Here is a 21008-nt window from a genome sequence, read left to right as displayed (position 1 = left end):
CAGGAATGGCATCTCATTAAAATTGAACATTAAGGGCCTGAAGGTGCTTTGACTAATTTTTCTGTCTGGGCATTGTTACTTAAGAGATCTGGAAGTTGAAAAATCCCCCTTCTCATAGTAGTCAGAGCAATCAGCCTTAGAGACTGCTGCCTACTCTGAGGCAGGGGACACTGGAAGGTTGGTGAGGTTTGCCCCTGAGCATGCCCCCAAAGAGCCTCCCTTTATTCCTAGAAGCTGGCAGGCTTTCTTTTCCTCCTACAAGTGGCAACCCGAATTCTGAGTTGAAAGTGAATCTTTGCCCTTGGCTCCTCTCTAGCATTCTTCACTGAGTGAATAGGAGTTTGGAATGTCAGAAAATAGAAGAGGGGAGGGGAAAAGATGTGTGTATGACTGTGAGTGTTTATATGTAAAAGCAGCTTCATCTGGGAGGACTTAGGGAAACCTGACTTCCTCAGACTGCTTCCTTCTTATAAACTCTTGGTTCCTTATTTATCGTTTTTTTGTTTTTGATTTTTAAGTTGTCTGACCTGATTTTATCATAGTAGTTCCAAATGCCTTACAGCCCAGTGGAGTCAAGCTAAGGAAGGACAGCATGATTTCCACAGGATTTGTATTTCTTCCCTCTGGATAAAGTGATAGTAGATCCCAGACTCACTGCCAGCAGGATCCAAGGTGGTCTTTCCTCCAGTATTTAATCTGGTGTCATCAGGAACCTACACTCAGGTTTTATTGGAGAGCAAGCCTCAATAAGAAGTGTGCTTTGAGGAGAATCAAGGACTTAATCTAGGCATAAAAGGTGTTGCTCAGCACAATACCCTCTACGGTAAGCTACCAGTCCTGAGAACCTGTGGTCAAAACTGAATTGAAAATATTGATGGAACTCAGACTCTGTGTAACTGGGGACTGGTTCAGAGCTCAAGACTATAATTTACAGGGCAGCTTTTATCCTTTATTTAGTTCTATCCAAAGTCATCTTGCATCAAGTCAAAAGGAGAGATTCTGTGAGGGTAACCTAAAGGGGAAATTTCCCAGCTTTGTGTGAAGAATCCAGTGGTTGCGTGTCTATCTGCATCCTGAGGAACCATGTCCTCTTTATATACCCGAAGTAAAGAATTCACTAGGAATAGGAAACCTCAGTCTGATTCTCCCCCGGCATCTCCCTCCCTGACTGCCAAGATGCTCTGACTAAGCAGCATTTTTTATTTACATATGTTCATAGCTGTGTCAAAGGTAGAGAATGTGTGTATATATAACTTGGGGCATTAGGTTTAGAGCAAAGGGACTTCAGAGCATATGGGAATCAGTACAGGAAAAAAAATTGCAAGTAAAGACCCTGTAAGTTTCTCTGCAAGAGGTTATGGTTCATAATACTTAATGTAGTCTTAAGTAAAAGCAGACTTAAATATGTCGGGCTACAGTTTCTGCCTTTTAGCTTTTAACTATCAGTTGTAAACTGCTTAACAGTAAGATTTTACAGTCCTTATCACTTTATCTTACAAGGCTTTTCTTAATTTCTACAGCTATTTTAGTCACTGCCTTTCTTGTGTTTTATGGGTCAATACTATGTTTCAAGAGAAAAACCTCCTAAATGGCCACACAACTATATACATTAAACTTCAGTTTAGCAAGTTCTGTGTGTGTATTTGTGTGTGTATGTATGTGAGGTAGAGTATGCTTTTGCCTAGTTTGTATGTCTGTCTGTGAGAAAGACCAAAATGAGCAAGGAGCAAGGAGTTATGGCCACTTGGAATCTTACTCCTTAATCACCAAGTACCTTCAGGAAATTTCTTGCTTAAAAGCCAAAGAACTAACTCTTGGCCATTGACAACCAGCTGTATGGAGGTGTTTGCGATGTCCTAGGTAGAGCCATTTGGGACTTTTCTCCATTTTCTCTAATGAATGTCTCAGCGAAGAGATTTACATATAGGCATTTGCATCTGATTTAGTGTCTTCCTCTGTGGGAAGCTGACAAAAGCAACAACTGCTACCAATAGCAAGGGATGAGAAGCTCTGATGGGCATATTAGGTAGCAGGCAATGTAGCAGTTACTTTTTCAGGAACTAGATTGTGCTTTGCTGTATATACAGAGTAAGAAGAAGGACGGCCATAGCTTCCTTATTTAGGGAGCTATGGGGAGAAAATTTGCAAGAAGCCTGGATAGACTAGTGTGGGGTTTTTTTCCCCAATTATTTTGTATGCATTTTCAATGTCTTTCTTACCAGTATAAATTACCATGTAGTGGAATTTGGTATATGGCATGTTGGTCTAAGACCTCAGCTAGGGATGAGAATACCAAAAGAATATTGTTACGAAGTTATTTTATTCACAAGTTTTTGTGAGAGCACCAAGAGGGGCTCCAATATATATGTTACTGTCATCGAGTTCCAGGAGTGTCTCTTCAACACATAGACTGGTACCTCTTTTTCCCAAGGAGCCACAGAATGCTTTCACCCCACTAGCTGTTGGGTATTTTTTGGTGGCTACCAATTGAGGTCCGCAAAACTGAACACCTTACTTCAGTTAGTGTTTAACTTTGCTCCCTTCCCTCTTATACTGTGTAGTACCTTTAGTTGTAAAGAGCCCCTTATTAATGTCTCTTCACCACTATAACCATAGTTCCAGAGCAATGTGGTGAGCAGTCAACAATAACCTGTTAGGTGATCTTCCTCCATTTTCCCTTTCTGTTTCTCCTTTGCTTTCTTAGAGTTAGGTACTGCTTTCGTCTTGTCTCACTTCTAACAGCTGCCATCCAACCTCCCTACCCTCGTTTCACCACCCCTCATCCCTGCCTTTTAGACAGAGGTCACAGTGGGAGAAAATCTGAATTACAGGAAACTAAAACATAGACGGCTTAATAAGATACTGCTTCCCAATTTTAGTGGTCACTGGCTGTGGATTCCTACAATACCATCAACTTACTCTAACTAACTTCCAGTGTCCAAATGACTTGAGACTATAATAAAGAGAATGTTGATTTTCATATACCACTCATGTTCCATTATGTTGCTTATGTCTTTAATGTCAGAGAAAGATATGCAAGACTCATTTGGTGGCTGCTGACACTAAGGACTGGGTATAAAATGAAGATTTCATCTCGCAAGATCTCCCTTAACCTAGTTCATTTTCTCTCATGTCCAACTAATTAGGGTAGTCTTTAAAAACTGGTTTTGAGTGTATTTTAACAACTGGTTTTGTGATGGTGGTGTTGTGCTCATATGCCTTTTGATGCCTGGTTGCAACTGGCTGATCCTCAGCCACCCTGAAAGGTGGGTATTGGTATCCCTATTTTACATATGAGGAAACTGAGGTACATAGAAGAGAAATGGCTTGCCCAGCATTGCTCAACTAGTAAGCAGCAGAGCCTTGATTAAAGCACCAAGCTCTCTGACTCTAAAACCCCATATTCCCAGCAACATTGGAGTACGTCTCAAATATATTTGAAGGTCAAGTTTAAGAACATGCTAAAGGACAAAGATGACAGTTAAAAGCTTAAGTAGCTGTGGGAGTCCAAAATGTATCCTTGATGGAGACACAGGAAACTGAAATTGCAGGAAGGAGGGAAACTGTATTTATAGGCCAAGGGAGGGAATTGGCAGGCCATAACTGAATCTCCTATGCCTGGTTCTCAAATCCCAGTCATACTCTCTGGGACCATGGAGCCCACAGAATCTGAGAGCTTGTGGGCTTCAGGGTCTTTGTATTTCTCTAGAAAAGTGGAAATGCTTGAGTCTTTACAGTAAAGATACTGGGAAGTTTCTGTGTGCATTTCAGAGTTAAAGTCAGGACAGCTCTCTTACTGTCCTCTTCCAAACTTCTTTGACTTGTTTGTATACATACATACAGTTTCTTCTAGAGATGGCACAGAGTTACAGAGGGACAGCACCTGATCCAACATTCTTCAAAACGGAAGATTGAAATTTCAGCCAGCAGTTAAAAGTTTGATTGTTTTTTGAGTGTTGTTAACAGGGCTAAAGAGTAAATGCCCCCATATAAGGAAAATATCCTCAGAGAGAATTTTAAAATAATAGCTATTCACATGGAGAGAATATTTTGGACACTGTACCTTTCGTCAAATGTTCAAGCAGTAGTAAAGGCAAACTATAAACTGTAAGTCAAACAAGTTATTATTTTTAACTTGAGAAAACAAAAGGCAGGATGATTTTTCAGTGACTAGAAAACAAACCTTTATTATATATGTTTACTTTTAAACTCGTAACAGCAGCTGATATACTCCCTAATGAAAAATCACTCATGTAGAAGATAGTGCATGTCCTCACCAGCCAAAAAGATTTTTGTTTACCTTCTCTACTTTGTATTTTGAAAATAATAAATATTTTTAATTCTCTGAACACAAAATTATGCTATTAAACATGGTTTTTAAAAATATACACCCGGGCTGGGTGCAGTGGCTCACACCTGTAGTCCCAGCACTTTGGGAGGCTGAAGCCTCGTGGACCATGAGGTCAGGAGTTCGAGACCAGCCTGGCCAACATAGTGAAACCCCATCTCTACTAAAATTACAAAAACTTAGCTCGGCATGGTGGTGGGCACCTGTTATCCCAGCTTCTCGGAAGGCTGAAGCAGGAGAATCGCTTGAACCCGGAAGGCGGGGGTTGCAGCGAGCCAAGATTGCACCATTGCACTCCAGCCTGGGCAACAAGAGCGAAACTCCGTCTATAAGTAAACAAACAAACAAACACATCCCTCTTCCTCACTAGAGAAAATTTCATCCATCCTTTTGGCATGCCCTCACTCGCTCCTACTGACACTAAGAATGACTGTTATAAGTGGTATGCTCCTAATATTGCTGTTTTGGAGTCTGTTGATCCTAAATAATGAAATAATTTTTTTTACTGCTACTTTTGGCTTTCATATGAAGTTTCCATTAGTTCAGTATCTTTTTTGTGTCTAAAAGTTGAGAAGTTCCCTTAGTAACAGCTCTGATCATCTCTGATTTGTTACTCAGGAAAAGTGGAAAAACTTTCAGATTCACTTGCATTTCTAATGGGAACCACACCAGGTAGATATTGATGAGAATTTGAAAGCTCAGTCTCTTTTCTCATACCACAAAATAACCCTAATATAAGATGCTGGGTTCATACAATTAGTAGTAAAACTTTCTTTTGACAGTAATTTTCCAACATAAAAAAAATTATTTTTCTTTTGAGTCTTTGTAGTTAAAGAAAAAATTCTGAACTGCAAATACATTAGACACTTGTAGCTCTTGGTTTTTAATTACTATGTATATTATTGGGTCTAACGTTTATAAATTCTATAAATTAGGAACTACTCAATTTAGATGGTTTAGCATTTTTAAATTATCCTAAAAGTAAGAGCCAGGTAATCTTTGGTCAGTATTCTCAAATTTTTCTTATTTGCTAATTTAAAATTTTTTCAATGCAGGGTATATTTAAAGGAAACAAATACTAGAGGATGTCCAAATTGTAGTGCTTATCTGATATTTATTATATTGAATAAATCTTGAAGTAAGTGGGTCATCAGCTGAACCCTGGGAATCTTTTAATTAGGCACATTTTCATTGAACTGGTATTTGTTATAATAGGATTTGACCTGCATTTATAAAGCAAGATCAGTAGCATTTTCCCATTTAGTCTGGATTGCTATTCCTTCAGTTCTAACATCTCAATTTTAAAAAATGACAAAAACAAAAAATTACAGAGATTTTACATAATATTTTTCAGTCAGCCATTAATGTGCATAAAGGGAACATTTAATCAATAAGCTTTGTTTTATAACCAGTCCTACAAACTAATTAGGGTACATTTGATAAATAATTGGATGATAAAGGATTATTGCCTTCATCAGAGCTTGTCTACGTAACAACTTTGGTTAGCAAGCCAGAGACATTCTGCCCCTTTGCCTTCCAGACTGTCAGTGTTGATAATTACTTCTTGCGTGTGCTTTGTGCCTTCCTCTGACAAGTACCAAACAGTTCTTTAGCATATTATCATATCCTCTATACATCCAACACTACATCTGATGCACTACCAATCTGGAATCCATTTTTACTCCACTTTATAATCCGTTGTCATGGAATGAGAAACACTTGGATGAACAATGCTAATTAAGAGTGCAATCTGTTAACCATTTTTTTCTGCCTAATTAAAACCAGGAGTGTATTTGTTTTTGGGGTTTTTTATTTCACTCAAGGAAAATCAATAGCAGTAATTGTTAAGCCCAAGGAATCTTCCTAGAATAGTAAAACCTGTGGGAATAAAAGTAGCTTTCCCATTAGGACCCATTACATGAATTCTTTTTTTTTTTTTTATTATACTTTAAGTTTTAGGGTACATGTGCACATTGTGCAGGTTAGTTACATATGTATACATGTGCCATGCTGGTGCACTGCACCCACTAACTCATCATCTAGCATTCGGTATATCTCCCAATGCTATCCCTCCCCCCTCCCCCCACCCCACCACAGTCCCCAGAGTGTGATGTTCCCGTTCCTGTGTCCATGTGTTCTCGTTGTTCAATTCCCACCTATGAGTGAGAATATGTGGTGTTTGGTTTTTTGTTCTTGTGATAGTTTACTGAGAATGATGATTTCCAATTTCATCCATGTCCCTACAAAGGACATGAACTCATCATTTTTTATGGCTGCATAGTATTCCATGGTGTATATGTGCCACATTTTCTTAATCCAGTCTATCATTGTTGGACATTTGGGTTGGTTCCAAGTCTTTGCTATTGTGAATAATGCCGCAATAAACATACGTGTGCATGTGTCTTTATAGCAGCATGATTTATAGCCCTTTGGGTATATACCCAGTAATGGGATGGCTGGGTCAAATGGTATTTCTAGTTCTAGATCCCTGAGGAATCGCCACACCGACTTCCACAATGGTTAAACTAGTTTACAGTCCCACCAACAGTGTAAAAGTGTTCCTATTTCTCCACATCCTCTCCAGCACCTGTTGTTTCCTGACTTTTTAATGATTGCCATTCTAACTGGTGTGAGATGGTATCTCATTGTGGTTTTGATTTGCATTTCCCTGATGGCCAGTGATGATGAGCATTTTTTCATGTGTTTTTTGGCTGCATAAATGTCTTCTTTTGAGAAGTGTCTGTTCATGTCCTTTGCCCACTTTTTGATGGGGTTGTTTGTTTTTTTCTCGTAAATTTATTTGAGTTCATTGTAGATTCTGGATATTAGCCCTTTTTCACATGAGTAGGTTGCGAAAATTTTTTCCCATTTTGTAGGTTGCCTGTTCACTCTGATGGTAGTTTCTTTGGCTGTGCAGAAGCTCTTTAGTTTAATCAGATCCCATTTGTCAATTTTGTCTTTTGTTGCCATTGCTTTTGGTGTTTTAGACAAGAAGTCCTTGCCCATGCCTATGTCCTGAATGGTAATGCCTAGGTTTTCTTCTAGGGTTTTTATGGTTTTAGGTCTAACATTTAAGTCTTTAATCCATCTTGAATTGATTTTTGTATAAGGTATAAGGAAGGGATCCAGTTTCAGCTTCCTACATATGGCTAGCCAGTTTTCCCAGCACCATTTATTAAATAGGGAATCCTTTCCCCATTGCTTGTTTTTCTCAGGTTTGTCAAAGATCAGATAGTTGTAGATAAGCAGCGTTATTTCTGAGGGCTCTGTTCTGTTCCATTGATCTATATCTCTGTTTTGGTACCAGTACCATGCTGTTTTGGTTACTGTAGCCTTGTAGTATAGTTTGAAGTCAGGTAGTGTGATGCCTCCAGCTTTGTTCTTTTGACTTAGGATTGACTTGGCAGTGTGGGCTCTTTTTTGGTTCCATATGAACTTTAAAGTAGTTTTTTCCAATTCTGTGAAGAAAGTCATTGGTAGCTTGATGGGGATGGCACTGAATCTGTAAATTACCTTGGGCAGTATGGCCATTTTCACGATATTGATTTTTCCTACCCATGAGCATGGAATGTTCTTCCATTTGTTTGTATCCTCTTTTATTTCCTTGAGCAGTGATTTGTAGTTCTCCTTGAAGAGGTCCTTCACATCCCTTGTAAGTTGGATTCCTAGGTATTTTATTCTCTTTGAAGCAGTTGTGAATGGGAGTTCACTCATGATTTGGCTCTCTGTTTGTCTGTTGTTGGTGTATAAGAATGCTTGTGATTTTTGTACATTGATTTTGTATCCTGAGATTTTGCTGAAGTTGCTTATCAGCTTAAGGAGATTTTGGGCTGAGACAATGGGGTTTTCTAGATATACAATCATGTCATCTGCAAACAGGGACAATTTGACTTACTCTTTTCTTAACTGAATGCCCTTTATTTCCTTCTCCTGCCTAATTGCCCTGGCCAGAACTTCCAACACTATGTTGAATAGGAGTGGTGAGAGAGGGCATCCCTGTCTTGTGCCAGTTTTCAAAGGGAATGCTTCCAGTTTTTGCCCATTTAGTATGATATTGGCTGTGGGTTTGTCATAGATAGTTCTATTATTTTGAAATACGTCCCATCAATACCTAATTTATTGAGAGTTTTTAGCACCATTACATGAATTCTTAGTAGAGACTGGCCTAGTTAACTCATGTCCTACATAGAGCTGGGGGAGATGGCATCTGAAGTCTTGGTTTGTTGACCAGAGAGACTGGGAGCTTCGAAGACATCAGCTCCCTTTCCTGCAAGCGGTGTCCTGCCCTTCTACTCTAATTTTTAGTTCCATGATAAATGTGTATCAAAGCCACCTGCCCTATTGTGAATCCTCCCACAACATTTTATGAGCATCTGCTTTGTAGTAGGCTTTATATTGGACACCAGAATTCATAAATGAAAGATACAGTTCCTGCCCTCAAAGAATTGGCAGTCTAATTGGGGAGATAAAGAAAATCAAGAATTAGAATACCAGGGAGGTGAATTTTCTAATAAAGACATAAGTTCAGGGTGTTTTAGATCAGTCATGTGGTTAATACATTAGCCTGAAGTTTGGAGAACAATAGAAGGTAGATGGACAAAGAAGAAAACAGTACATTACAAAGGTAGAAAAAGAATATGAGAACATAATGGCATTATTCTGAGAGCTGCATGTCGGTGTGGCTAGAACAAAAGATATATTTAGAAATGTAATAAGAAATGAGGCAGGAGGCTTAGCAAACCCAGGTCATGTGAGGCTTTGTATATAATTTTGAGCATTTGGGGAGTTATCCTGTGGATAAAGAATAAAGGAATGAAGATTTGAAGTAAAGTTGCTGTGCTCAGAATTGCATATTAGAGAAATAACTTTGACAGCTGTGGAAGCTGGACTGGGAGGAGGGTCAGGACATGATCAGGTCACTGGCCTTTGACTGCAGTATTCCGGGTAAGAAATGTTAAGGGCCTAGTCAGAGATATTTTTTCTGGGAAGTATAGAGAAGCATTCAGTTGTTTAGAAGGTAGAATTGATAAGATATGGATTGATAGAATGGGGATAAGGATGAGCCTGAGAGAGGGCAGAGTCAGGAGTGACTACCAGGTCTCTGGTTTAGGTGACTGGGTAGAAAATGGTATGATAAGTATCAGGTGCAGGGCTCACACCTGTAATTCCAGCATTTTGGGAGGCAGAGATGGGAGGATTGCTTGAGTCCAGGAGTTTGAGACCAGTCTGGTCAATGGAGTAAGAACTGTTTCTTCAAAAAATTGTTAAACTAGCCAGGTATTGTGGCACATGCCTATACTCTTAGCTACTTGGGAGGCTGAAGTGGGAGAATAGCTTGAGCTCAGGAGGTCGAGGTTTCAGTGAGCCATGATTGTACCACTGCACTCCAGCCTGGGCAACAGAATGAGACCGTCTCAAAAAGAAAAAAAAATAGTGTGACAAAATTGAGTTGGCAAACACAGGAGGCTAAACGCTGTCAAGTGGGGAAATGGTTTCACTTTTGGAATGTCGAATTAGAGGTACTTTGGGACATTCAGATAGTGATTTCCAGAAAGTAATTGGTCTGACACTTGGGAGAAAATTATGGGCTAAAAATACTGATATTTATTGTTGAAGCCATAAGAGTGGTGAGCTTATCTAAGGAGTAGATGTAACATAAGGAGGGGCTGAGAGTAAACCTCAAGAGGAGTAACCACAAGCAGATAAGAGATATGTTTCTTTTTCTAATGGTGCTTTCCTATTCCATCACCAGTGGAATCACATGCAGGAAGACAGCAGGTCTTGTATCTGGTTTCTTTGTTCAGAGGTATTGTGGTCAAACTTATGTTACGGTGATGAGTTTCAGTTCTCAAAGGATTCAGAAATTTAGTTAAGGGTCAATTGGTTATGAGTTTTGTGTTGCATTCTAGTTTTGTCTTCAGTACCTAACCAGTTGTGTGACAAGGGATTATTTTTTAAAGTTTGGAAAAGTTCCCAGACTATTCAGCATTGGTTTTTAATTTCTTTTCTTAATCTGTTAATATTTGGGTGAGCTGGCAATTTATTACTATAAGAAGACCAAAGGGAAACAATCAGAGTTGGCTTTCATCAGCTTTTTATTTCTTTTAAGCCTCCTTTTTATTCCATTCTTGACCTGGTTATCATGCAGTGAGTGACGGTTATCCACAACTGGAATGTTAGTTCTCATAACAGTTCCAAAATCCAACAGCCTTCTTTGGTTACACAGCATGGAAAGAGTTCTACCAGTGACATGATTAGATAAAGATACTGAAAGTGTGTCTGGACTTTAACCTCTCATAGTTCATTATGAAAGCAACATTTTCATATAGGAGTTGTACATAAAATTGCAAGTGGCTATTTTAAAAGTTGTATGAAAAGTTAAATATTCTAGATTTAAATAAAGTTATAAAATAGATGAGAGTATATTATAGCATTTTAAAAAATGTTTTGCATTGATTTCCAAAATCAACTTTACATAGTTGGTTGTCTGAAAGTACATATATCCATCCAGACAGTAAAATAATGACCTTAAATGTGTGTAGATTAGAAAGGGAAGTAGGAATTAGCCTGGTTAATCAAAATCTACAAATAATCAAAACCCTTTACTTGAGTGCTGAGGAATTTATTTGAGCTTATTCCTCTTGCAGCCAACAAACATTGGGAGAACCAAAAGACCAAAGAGGGACGAGAGAGAATAAAAAAAAGTATGGAGGACTGTAGTAATATCAATAGCTAAAATTTATTGAACATTTACTCTTTGTCAGTGCTGTACCAAGCACTTACATTTATTGTCTCATTTAATACGTTTGATAACCATAAACACCAAGTTAACTATCTCATTTTAATGACAAGGACACTGAACAGAGAAGTTAAGTAATCATGTAAGATCACATAACTTAGTAAATGCTGGAGCCAGCTATCTGGATCAAGAGCCTCAGCCTTAACCAGTAAGGCATGTAACTGTTCTAGTGAAACTACTGTCTCTTCTTTAAATAGCTCCTAGATTATTACCAGTATCCCTGACTACTGAATCTGACTTGGAAAGAGAGATGATGACAACAAAAGCTATCTTAAGGAAAAATGTAACAGAATAACAGGAACAAACAAACCTAGATTAGTAAAAAGTCAGAATTTTTTTTTTTTTTGAGACAGGATCTCGCTCTGTCACCCAGGCTGGAGTACAGTAGCACCATCATGGCTCACTGCAGTCTCAAACTCCTGGCCTCAAGCAATTCTCTTGCCTCAGCCTCCCTAATAGCTGGGACTATAGGTGTGCTGGGGCCTCACTAACTTGTTGACCAAGCTGGTCTCAAACTCCCAACCTCAAGTGATCCTCCTGCCTCAGCGTCCCAAGGTGCTGCGCTTACAGGTGTGAGCCACTGTGCCCAGCCAAAGTCAGAATTTTACATCATTTTAAAATAGGTGTGGTGGTGCATGCATGTAGTCCCAGATACTCAGAAGGCTGAGGCAGAAGGATCACTTTGAGCCCAGGAAATAGAGGTAGCAGTGAGCGATGATCATGCCAGTACACTCTGACAACGCAAGACTCTCTCTCTCTCTCTCTCTCTCTCTCTCTCTATATATATATATATATATATATATATATATATAAAATTTTAGTATTTACAAGTGTCTATGATAAAACTCAGGACCTGTTAAATTGTAACAAGTTCTGAATTAGCAGGGCCTGAATTACTGAGATTTTTCTCATCTGAGGAGACCCTTCCCTGCCAAAACCAAGAAAATAAACTACAAAAGCATCCCCTGTCCCAAAAGTCTACATTTTAAAATACCTATTCTGCTCTGGGAGGTGGTTTAGCCCCCTAAATAAGAAACTTGTGCATTTGAAGACTCAAGTTCCCTACTAGGGGTACGAAAGTGGAAGAATCAAAGAAAGCTTCAGTTCTTTATCCTTCTAAATTTCATCTTTCAAGGCAGAGTAGCACTTTGGGATGACTGTGGCCCTTTCAAGGCCCCAACTTATGTAAGATCACTTACAAGTCACACATAATAGTGTCATTTTTCATGACCATCCAGTTTCAGACTTCAAGCTGATGTATCCACTAAGTTTGTTCCTTCCATTATCGCCTTGCCCAGAATATCTAGTCAGTATTGGTCTCTCCCTTTCCTAACTACCCCTTTTTATTTACTGTATGTACTAGATGGTCTAACATTTGATTGCATTTAATCAATTGCTTTTTTTTTTTTTTTTTTGAGACGGAGTCTTGCTCTGTTGCCCAGGCTGGAGTGCAGTGGCATGATCTCTGCTCACTGCAAGCTCTGCCTTCCAGATTCATGCCATTCTCCTGCCTCAGCCTCCCGAGTAGCTGGGACTACAGGTGCCCACCACCACACTCGGCTAATTTTTGTATTTTTAGTAGAGACGGGGTTTCACTGTGTTAGCCAGGGTGGTCTCAATCTCCTGACCTCATGATCCACCCGCCTCAGCCTCCCAGTGCTGGGATTACAGGCATGAGCCACCACGCCCAGCCAACTTTCTTGAATTACATTCTATTTGTTTTATGAGTGTGCATATTTTACCTCCTCAAAGAAGAGCTCTTTGAGATCAGAGAGCCATGTCTTAGATTCTGTAATTGTCGATTTTATTCCTGTAAGTACTACTCACAAGGCTGGGCACATACAGGTGCTTAATGTAAATGCAGGGAATGAATGCTGCTGCTTGAGATTTGATCTCTCCGCTCCTATCCCATTTAGCCGTCTGGAAAGGAGTCAGAGGCCACACACACTTGAGAATCTTATTTCTAACATGAAGGCTAACCATAGGTCTTCCCAAGTCAATTCAGATTCCTGTTTATTGCAATTTGCTAGTATATCGGTCACTCCAAAATATATGAGTTAATATTTTGGTTTTTGTGGGAATCAAAAGAGAAAAAGCCTGTGGAATCTACTCAGAAATAAAAAGTTCTACCCTATGTTACTTAGGTCCCAAGTATTAATATTTATCTCCTCATGAAATGTGAGGTCTGGAGAGCCTCACTAATTCCTTTGTAAAAGTTTTGATTCACAGCCTAGTCCAAATAAAATTAAAGTTACTGCTACCCAAACAGGCTGCTGGACTGTGACATTTACCATATGAAAATACCCATCTCTTCCCAGGCTTCAAGGAAAGCTTACTTCCTAAAGAAGTATAATGGTGGTCAGTAACATCATGACAGGCTAGTGGGGAGAGACCTGGAATCTCAATTAGAGAAATGGAGTGAAACTCAAACAGTAGGATTTAAGGCCTAAATAAGGACTTTTAAAATTTACGATATACTCTATGCTGTATTCTAACAATATTTTGGAGGGACTGATCAGGCTTCTTTTCTCAGGTGTTCACTGAGGCTGTGTTTTTTTTAAATCATCTGAATGTATTTCATAGTTTCAGATGCCCATACACATCTGTGTGAACCTAAAACTCCAAGCTATGGGGAAAGTAAACATAGATATTAAATGTGAGAAACGTGACCCATGTGCTAGAGCCACACAAGTTTTAGAGCTCCTCATTCCCCTGTTGGTCATTTTCATCCTATATAGTACACAGCATGTGAAAGGCTAGAGGGAAAATATGCCGGAGGCTGCAAATGCATTTATGAATCACAAGAGTTTTCAATTATACATATAAAATGGCTTGCCTTAGGTATCTTATGGAGGCCTTAATATATCCATATATTTCCTTCTACAATGAGTGCATTTTGTGAGTTTCCAAAAGATCCAGAAATTCTTCAGAAGCTGGGAATATTCACAAAAGGGAGGTGCAGGTCTGCATAGATGCTAAGAGCTTTAAAATTCTAATAATATTAGGTAGCACAATAGAGACAACAAAAGATGAGTCTATTTCTATCATTTAATGAACTTAATGGTTTTTCTTTTAAAATATAGTGACATATGCTGCAATATATGAGATGATGTTACATGATACCATTTTTACATGCCTTAACATTTTACATGCCTTAAATTGATAGGGTAGTCACAATCTGGCATATGAGATTTTTCAGAAATATTTATAATATGAACTGAATGTAAATACTGTATTTGACTATGTTTAACTTTTTGTTCTATATGTATTAAGTAGTCGGTAAAGACAAATCAAGACATATAATATGATGAAGACATATGTGATTTAATACTTGCTTTTAAAAGTTAATTTTTCCTTGGAAGTATACTCTCTTACACATATGTATACCAGGTCACATGGACGCCTGTTTTTTTCCCTGCATAAGACAGCACTTTTGGTATTGCCCTGATTCTGAATGTATGTAATCACCTAGTGCAGCTGAGAGGCCATGTGCTATGGATGTTTCTTTTAGGATGTTACAGATAAATTAGACCATTTTTTATAAGGGAGATCCTTGTGATAGTTGGAATTTCTAAAATGCCTCCCCAAAAGGTCCTCGCCTAATCTCTAGAACCCATGTATATGACAAGATAGCTCTCGCATGATTGTTCTGTTACATACCACAGTTGACCTAAGTTAGGGAGGTTTTCCTGGGTGGGCCTGAGCTAATCACATAAGCCTGTGAAGGCAGAGAGCCTTCTCAGCAGATGATGGACAGGAAGCCAGAGAAATGTGAAGTGCGAAAAGAACTCAATGCTTCATTGCTGGTTTGAAAATCAGAAGGGCCATGTGAAAAGGAATGTAGGAGCTTCTGCAAGCAGTAAGCAGCCACTACCCTGCAAGGCTGTGGGTACCTGAAACCTCACAGGGCTGGATTCCTGCCAACAACCTGGATGAGCTTGAAGCAGATTCTTCCCCAGATGCTCCTGATAAAAGCCAATAGCAGACTCCTTGATTTCAGACCATTGAGTACTTGAGGAGGGAACCCAGCAGAACTGTGCAGACTTCTGACCTACAAAACTGTGTGATAATAAATGGGTTTTTAAGCCACTAAATTTTGTTTTGGCAGCAATAGAAAACTAATGAAATTGAAAATTTGATGATATTAATTTTTTTGATATAAAAAACAGCATAGGCCTCATTATCATTGCCCTCTACTGTCACATCTTTGCATAAACCTTGGAAGTTCTTGTTCCACCCTCACATTTATTTCTAGATTATGCAGGATCCCCAGATAAATTACTAGAACAATGAAGGCTTCACTTCAAAGTTAGAGACTGGTAGATTCTCCTTATTTCAAGTTTCCTAAGAATCTTGTCTGTTTGAATTATGAAGAAATCTTTTTCCTTAAGATAGAAGGATGGAAAACTTTTGTCTCTCTTGGACTTACATATGAAACCAGAATGATTCTTAAACTCAAAAGTTACAAAATTATACTATTTCGCAATTAACTCAGACCATGATTAGGTTTGCAGTACCTCTGAAAATTTGAAGGGTCCTTGCTGCAGCCACACTCACATCATTGGCTTGTTCATCAACAGTCAATATTCTGAGAACACTGAAGGGAAAGAAGATGGTTCTCTGTAGACCACCCCAGAATAGCTCAAATTTTTTCCTCTGGCTCAGCTAGTACACAAGAACATAATATAAAATGTTCCTTCTGCTTATTCCCTCTTCGGGAGAAAATGTAAATAGAAGTTTTTTCCCATCACTGTGGGGTCAAGCCATAACTCCAAAAGGAAAATGAGTTAAACCAGTTTCAGCCTTGGTAGCAGACATGTGACTTGGTCTCATTCCTTTCCCTTGGGCCCAGCTTTCCTGAGCCACAGTTTTATTTTAAACTTGGTAGAAGGAGTTTGCTTTTAATTATGTGCCTTCCTGAACTCCTGATAACTTTCAAGTTGAAAGCTTTTGTGGGGATTTTTCTAAGCCAGTCTCTGGTGTTTTGAGGGCCCTACACATTTCACAAATCAAAACCAGTCTGATTTCTGTCCCTTTCTAGGATTGCCATCTGAATTAATGGTGATCTTCATTCTGTTCTTTTATGAGAAACAGGCCCAAGCAATGAGATTATTATGGGAGAATTTCAAGAGGTATGAAAGAAAGAAGTCTGCTTCTTATTTTGGGACATTTTTAAAACTATGGTCTATCCAGCTAATCATTCTTTTTACCTCTACTCTCTGTATTCATATTGGTTTCTGAGCAGCTTTTAGTCTCTTCTTCTCTAGAGTCTCATTCACATTATCTGTTGTCCCCAGTTGGGCCATAAAAGCTGTGAAAGTAATTCCTTCTTTGAACAGTTTCTATCTAGTTCAGACACACTAGAGAGTCTCATTTTAGTGGCCATCATTTGTCTTCAATAGAAGGTAGAGCAAAACAGTCTTTGACAAAAACACTTAGAGAAGTTCTAAGACTTCCAGATTAGAGCATACAGCATAATAGATTTGTGAATTAACCTACCAATTGGAGAAAAGATTCATGCCTTTTCTAAAATATATGATATCATCATGTGCAGATAAGCTATTCAGACTCTACTTACAGAGTAGACTAACTTGTGTTTTTGAGAAGAGAGAGGGAGTATACAGAGGAGGAGGATGGAAGGATGGGACCATTGCCAGAGCATAGATAAGATGAGTCCACATTCCTAGCCTCTAAAGGATCATCGATTCGGCTGAAGTCCCTAAGCCTTATGTTCTAGGACTTCGCCTTATTTCCTGCCCACTCAGCTGACCTCTTAGAATCCTCTTCTCTGGGAGAAGCTTCAGTGTTCATTTCCCTACTCTGTGTTCTGCTTACCTCTTCTGATGTCACTTCCTGGCTTACTGTTCCCCTGAGATTACTTAGGCAAACTCCCACTCTGTCTTATCTCCTCTAGATTTACTTAGTAGTCACCCTGCAGGGTTGGCAGTCAGCTTTCTTGAATGAAGTCGAGTTAGTCTAACAGTTGATGTGATCTGTAATTAGTTTGAATGACAGGAGGATGAAGAGGAAAAATTCAAGTTAAGTCTTCTGAGTCAATCCAGCCACTCTGCTTCTTTACCCAAGAAACCCCATCTTCTCTCTCCCTAAATCCAACTAGTGTTTTTTTCATCAAACCCCGGATTATCTAGGGTATCAAGAAGCCAAGCAAAACAATAGTTTCTAGAGGTATTCCACCAATGAAAATTAGTTAGGAAGTATGATCTAAAAACCTAAGCCATTTTATCAGAATTAGGGGAATTAAACATTAAACCCTATATACTTTTAAGCTATCTTGCCTTACTCTTTTTAGGCTAAAAACCTGAAAGGAAACCATTTCTATTACAGTGAGAATAATTCACCCTTAGAAGTCCAGTTTTCTTCCTTTTTTGAAATAATATTGTTTGTATTAAGTTAACTGTGTTATCCCTACTGCATCCAAAGCTCACTAATCTCTGAGGTTTTAGGAGATTTATCTACTCTCCTCTAATTGGTAGGGTTGACTTTCCCAGGACATTGCTAAGGCTAGCCCCTGACGGCAATAATATTTTAAAAAAATAAAAAATAAAGGATTCCACATAGCTCCAAAAGTCAGGTAAAAGCTGGAGGGAATTAGAGATAGCAAGGAAAGATCAAGGATTAACTTGCAAGCTCTGTTTTCTCTAATATCTGCATCTAGGTAAATTGTCTACTGCCTTGTCTGCTGGATCACTCATTACTTACACATTTTATAAAAGGTTACCCAAAAAGAAATTGTTAACAAGGAATGTTAACAAGCCTTTAAAAGCTAATAAACAACAGACTGTGGTGTTTGCTTTCAGTTACTCCTGGCAAGCAGAAGTAAGAGTGTAGGTCATCAACTTCCTAGGTGGCTGTAGGGAACACCTCCTACAGTAAGCCTATAGGGACAAAAACTGGTATGGGAATCACAAGTGTGAGCACCATTATCATTACCTTCCTCCACGTGCTCTCATTTGTGGAAAAATTAATCTAGGCCTCTTGAAAATCCTGTGGAATCTGCCTTTTCATATCCAGGAACCCTGGGGGCTTTTTCTGATTGCTGCTTGATAGTGCTAACCTATTTTTTGTGTGTTTCAATTTTTAAGTGTTTGTATTTTATGTCAACCTCCTCAGTGAAGGTCATACAGTTCACACAGCCATACTATACAGCCATATATCTGAAAACTTTCTTGGCTTAATTGTGCTTCCAGAACATTCTAAATGAAAAGGGTTAATGTCATTTAAAAAGTAAAGCAATGGAAATTATTAGCATGCTTTGATTTATAGATAATGGCTAAGATTGATGCCTGGTAAAATCCTAATCTCCCTGTTTTAATGAAAAAAAAAAAAAAAAAAAGCTTGTTTTGTCACCATAGAGGCAGCTGCCAGAGTCTACACAGCAGAATTTAAAACTAAAGATATAGTAAAATCTTACCCAACAAATAGGATATTTAAAAGAAGAAACTAAAAAAAAAAAAAATTCAAGTGAGGTTTCACATTTCAAGAAAAAGTCAGCAAAAAAGCATGATTTAATTGTCAGAAAGTTAGGCCTCAGTCTGCACACCATGGAGAAATGAGCTCCTAGTTCAATAGGAGGAAGAAAAGGCCCAAGGGACCAGTTTGATTGTAAACAGGTCATTTTTCCATACCTAAGACGATGTGGAAAGTACATCTTTGGAAAGAGTGTCAACAATGCTACCCCCATATGAAGGGTATAGTTTGAAGGCTGTTCTAGTCAGAAGCACTGAGAGAAAATAAATGGTCTTCTAAATTATTGTTTCATTTGGTTACATGTGAACTCAATTCCCTGAACCAAAGGTATGAAGTTTTAAGTTGGTACTCTAACCAGCATCAGTAGCCAATATAATATTCTTTTTTTTTATTTTTTGACAGTGTCTCACTCTGTCTCCCAGGCTGCAGTGCAGTGACGCTATCTCAGCTCACTGCAACCTCTACCTCCTGGGCTTAAGCAATTCTCCTGCCTAAGCTTCCCAAGTAGCTGGGAGTACAAGCTTGTGCCACCACACCCAGCTAATTTTTGTAGTTTTAGTGGAGATGGGGTTTTGCCATGTTGGCCAGGCTGGTCTCGAACTCCTGACCTCAAGTGATCCACCTGCCTCAGCCTCCCAAACTGCTGGTATTACAGGCGTGAACCACTGCACCTGACCTAATAAAATATTCTTACAATTTAAAAAATGAAAGCAGAGGAATGGTGGCGGGGAAGCTGACATTTTAAGAGTTCACTTCCTTGTAGTTATCACAGTTAATTCTTACTGTTAGAATAAGTGGTAACTTGCCAAGGTCACATTGCTAGATGTCAGAGCAGAAATTAGAAATCAGGTCTAGCCAAGGCCATCACACTTCTCAGAGCATTAACAATTCAGTTCAGTTAGTGTTTATTGAACACCTATTGTGTTCTGGCCCTGTAGGTACTAAAAATATAATTAGGAATAAGATGGAATTTTAGGGAAATGTTCCCTCCATAACAATATGTTTTTTAAAAGAATGTATGTATCTCTTCTGGATCTTTGTTATCAGGAAAAAAATATGTGTTTGTATGTGTTTCTCTAATATGATCTTCCCAAAACTCCTATCTTTTAGGAGGTTTTCTTAGCTGAAGCCAATGGGTTACCACTGTTATCTCCATAGCACATATTCTCATGTTTTCCCTACATTGCTTCAGGCGAACTTGTTAATTATGTTCACAGTGCTCTCCTGGTTCTGTCGTGCAACTTATTCTGCTTCTTCCTCAGTGCCTCCTCTACAGGGCTCTGCACACAGTGGGCTCTTAAATACAACAGATGTTTTGCATTTGCTGGTATGGAGTTCAGGCTGAATTATTCACAAGTATTTGACATGTCACAATAAATAGTTTTCCTGGACCATGAATTTTAATCCACCCAGATGCTAGGTCTTCTCACAAAGCTAATGAGTGACATAACCCATAGCCCAGGATCTCAGCTTCACTTGCATACTTTTTTTTGTTTGTTTTGTTTTGAGACAAGGCGTCACTCTGTCACCCAGGCTCAAGTGCAGTGGCATGAACACAGCTCACTGCAGCCTCGACCTCTCATGTTCAAGTGATCCTCCTGCCTTGGCTTTCCATGTAGCATGGATCACAGGTGCACACCACTATGCCCAGCTAACTTCTTAAAAATTATTTTGTAGAGATGGGGTCCCGCCATGTTGCCCAGACTGGTCTTGAACTCCTGGGCTCAAGTGATCCTCCTGCCTCCAGAGTGCTGGTATTACAGGTGTGAGCCACTGCACCCAGCCCTGTATATGTGTTAGTTCTTGAGAGGTGATTAAAATTTAGTTTCTTTTTTGAAAAAAAAGATATCAAGAAAAAAAAACTTCAGGTAAGTTGAGAAAGTAGGCAATGAAAGTGTGGGGTATACATGTAAGTGCCACTGGAGATTAGATATATAAATGTGGGACAGGAAAAATGCCTGGAATTGTCCTGAATTTTAGATTTCCAACTTTCAGGATTCTCACCTCAATGTATGAGAATATACCATATACTTTTCTTAATGAGTCCTAATGATTCCCCCACCTCAAATGGGGGCATGTCTCCATGTTCAAAAAACCTTCATTTAGTCCAGCGGTATTTAACCAGGGCTGTACAGCAGAATCACCTGGGTTACTTTTTAAAAATACATATAGGAAAGCTGCATTCTAGACCTACTGAAACAGAATCTCCAGTACTGAGGTTAGGACATGTACATTTTGCAAAAGTGTGCAGGATTATTCTGATGAGTATAACCCTTGATTTAAAGAGAGATTCCATGAGGAAATGTCATGTTTATCAAGGTGACTCTTTTCAGTCCTCTTTAGTCATATGTGCTGTCACTGTATACCTCTCCT

General features: G+C 38.9%; 1 pseudogene across 1 annotated transcript in view; it reads left to right on the top strand.

Annotated features, from left to right (window-relative positions):
- Nucleotides 1-420: 420 nt before the first annotated feature.
- Nucleotides 421-21008, top strand: part of REREP2Y (arginine-glutamic acid dipeptide repeats pseudogene 2 Y-linked) — a 41507-nt pseudogene continuing 20919 nt past the window's right edge. Inside the window, exon 1 of the transcript XR_938673.3 lies at nt 421-823. The product of XR_938673.3 is annotated as an arginine-glutamic acid dipeptide repeats pseudogene 2 Y-linked (transcript). The remainder of the gene's footprint in view (nt 824-21008) is intronic.

The sequence above is a fragment of the Homo sapiens genome, chromosome Y, assembly GCF_000001405.40.
Source record: "Homo sapiens chromosome Y, GRCh38.p14 Primary Assembly".
In the NCBI taxonomy this organism is placed as follows: domain Eukaryota; kingdom Metazoa; phylum Chordata; class Mammalia; order Primates; family Hominidae; genus Homo; species Homo sapiens.
This window is presented reverse-complemented; position numbering and strand designations above follow the sequence as displayed.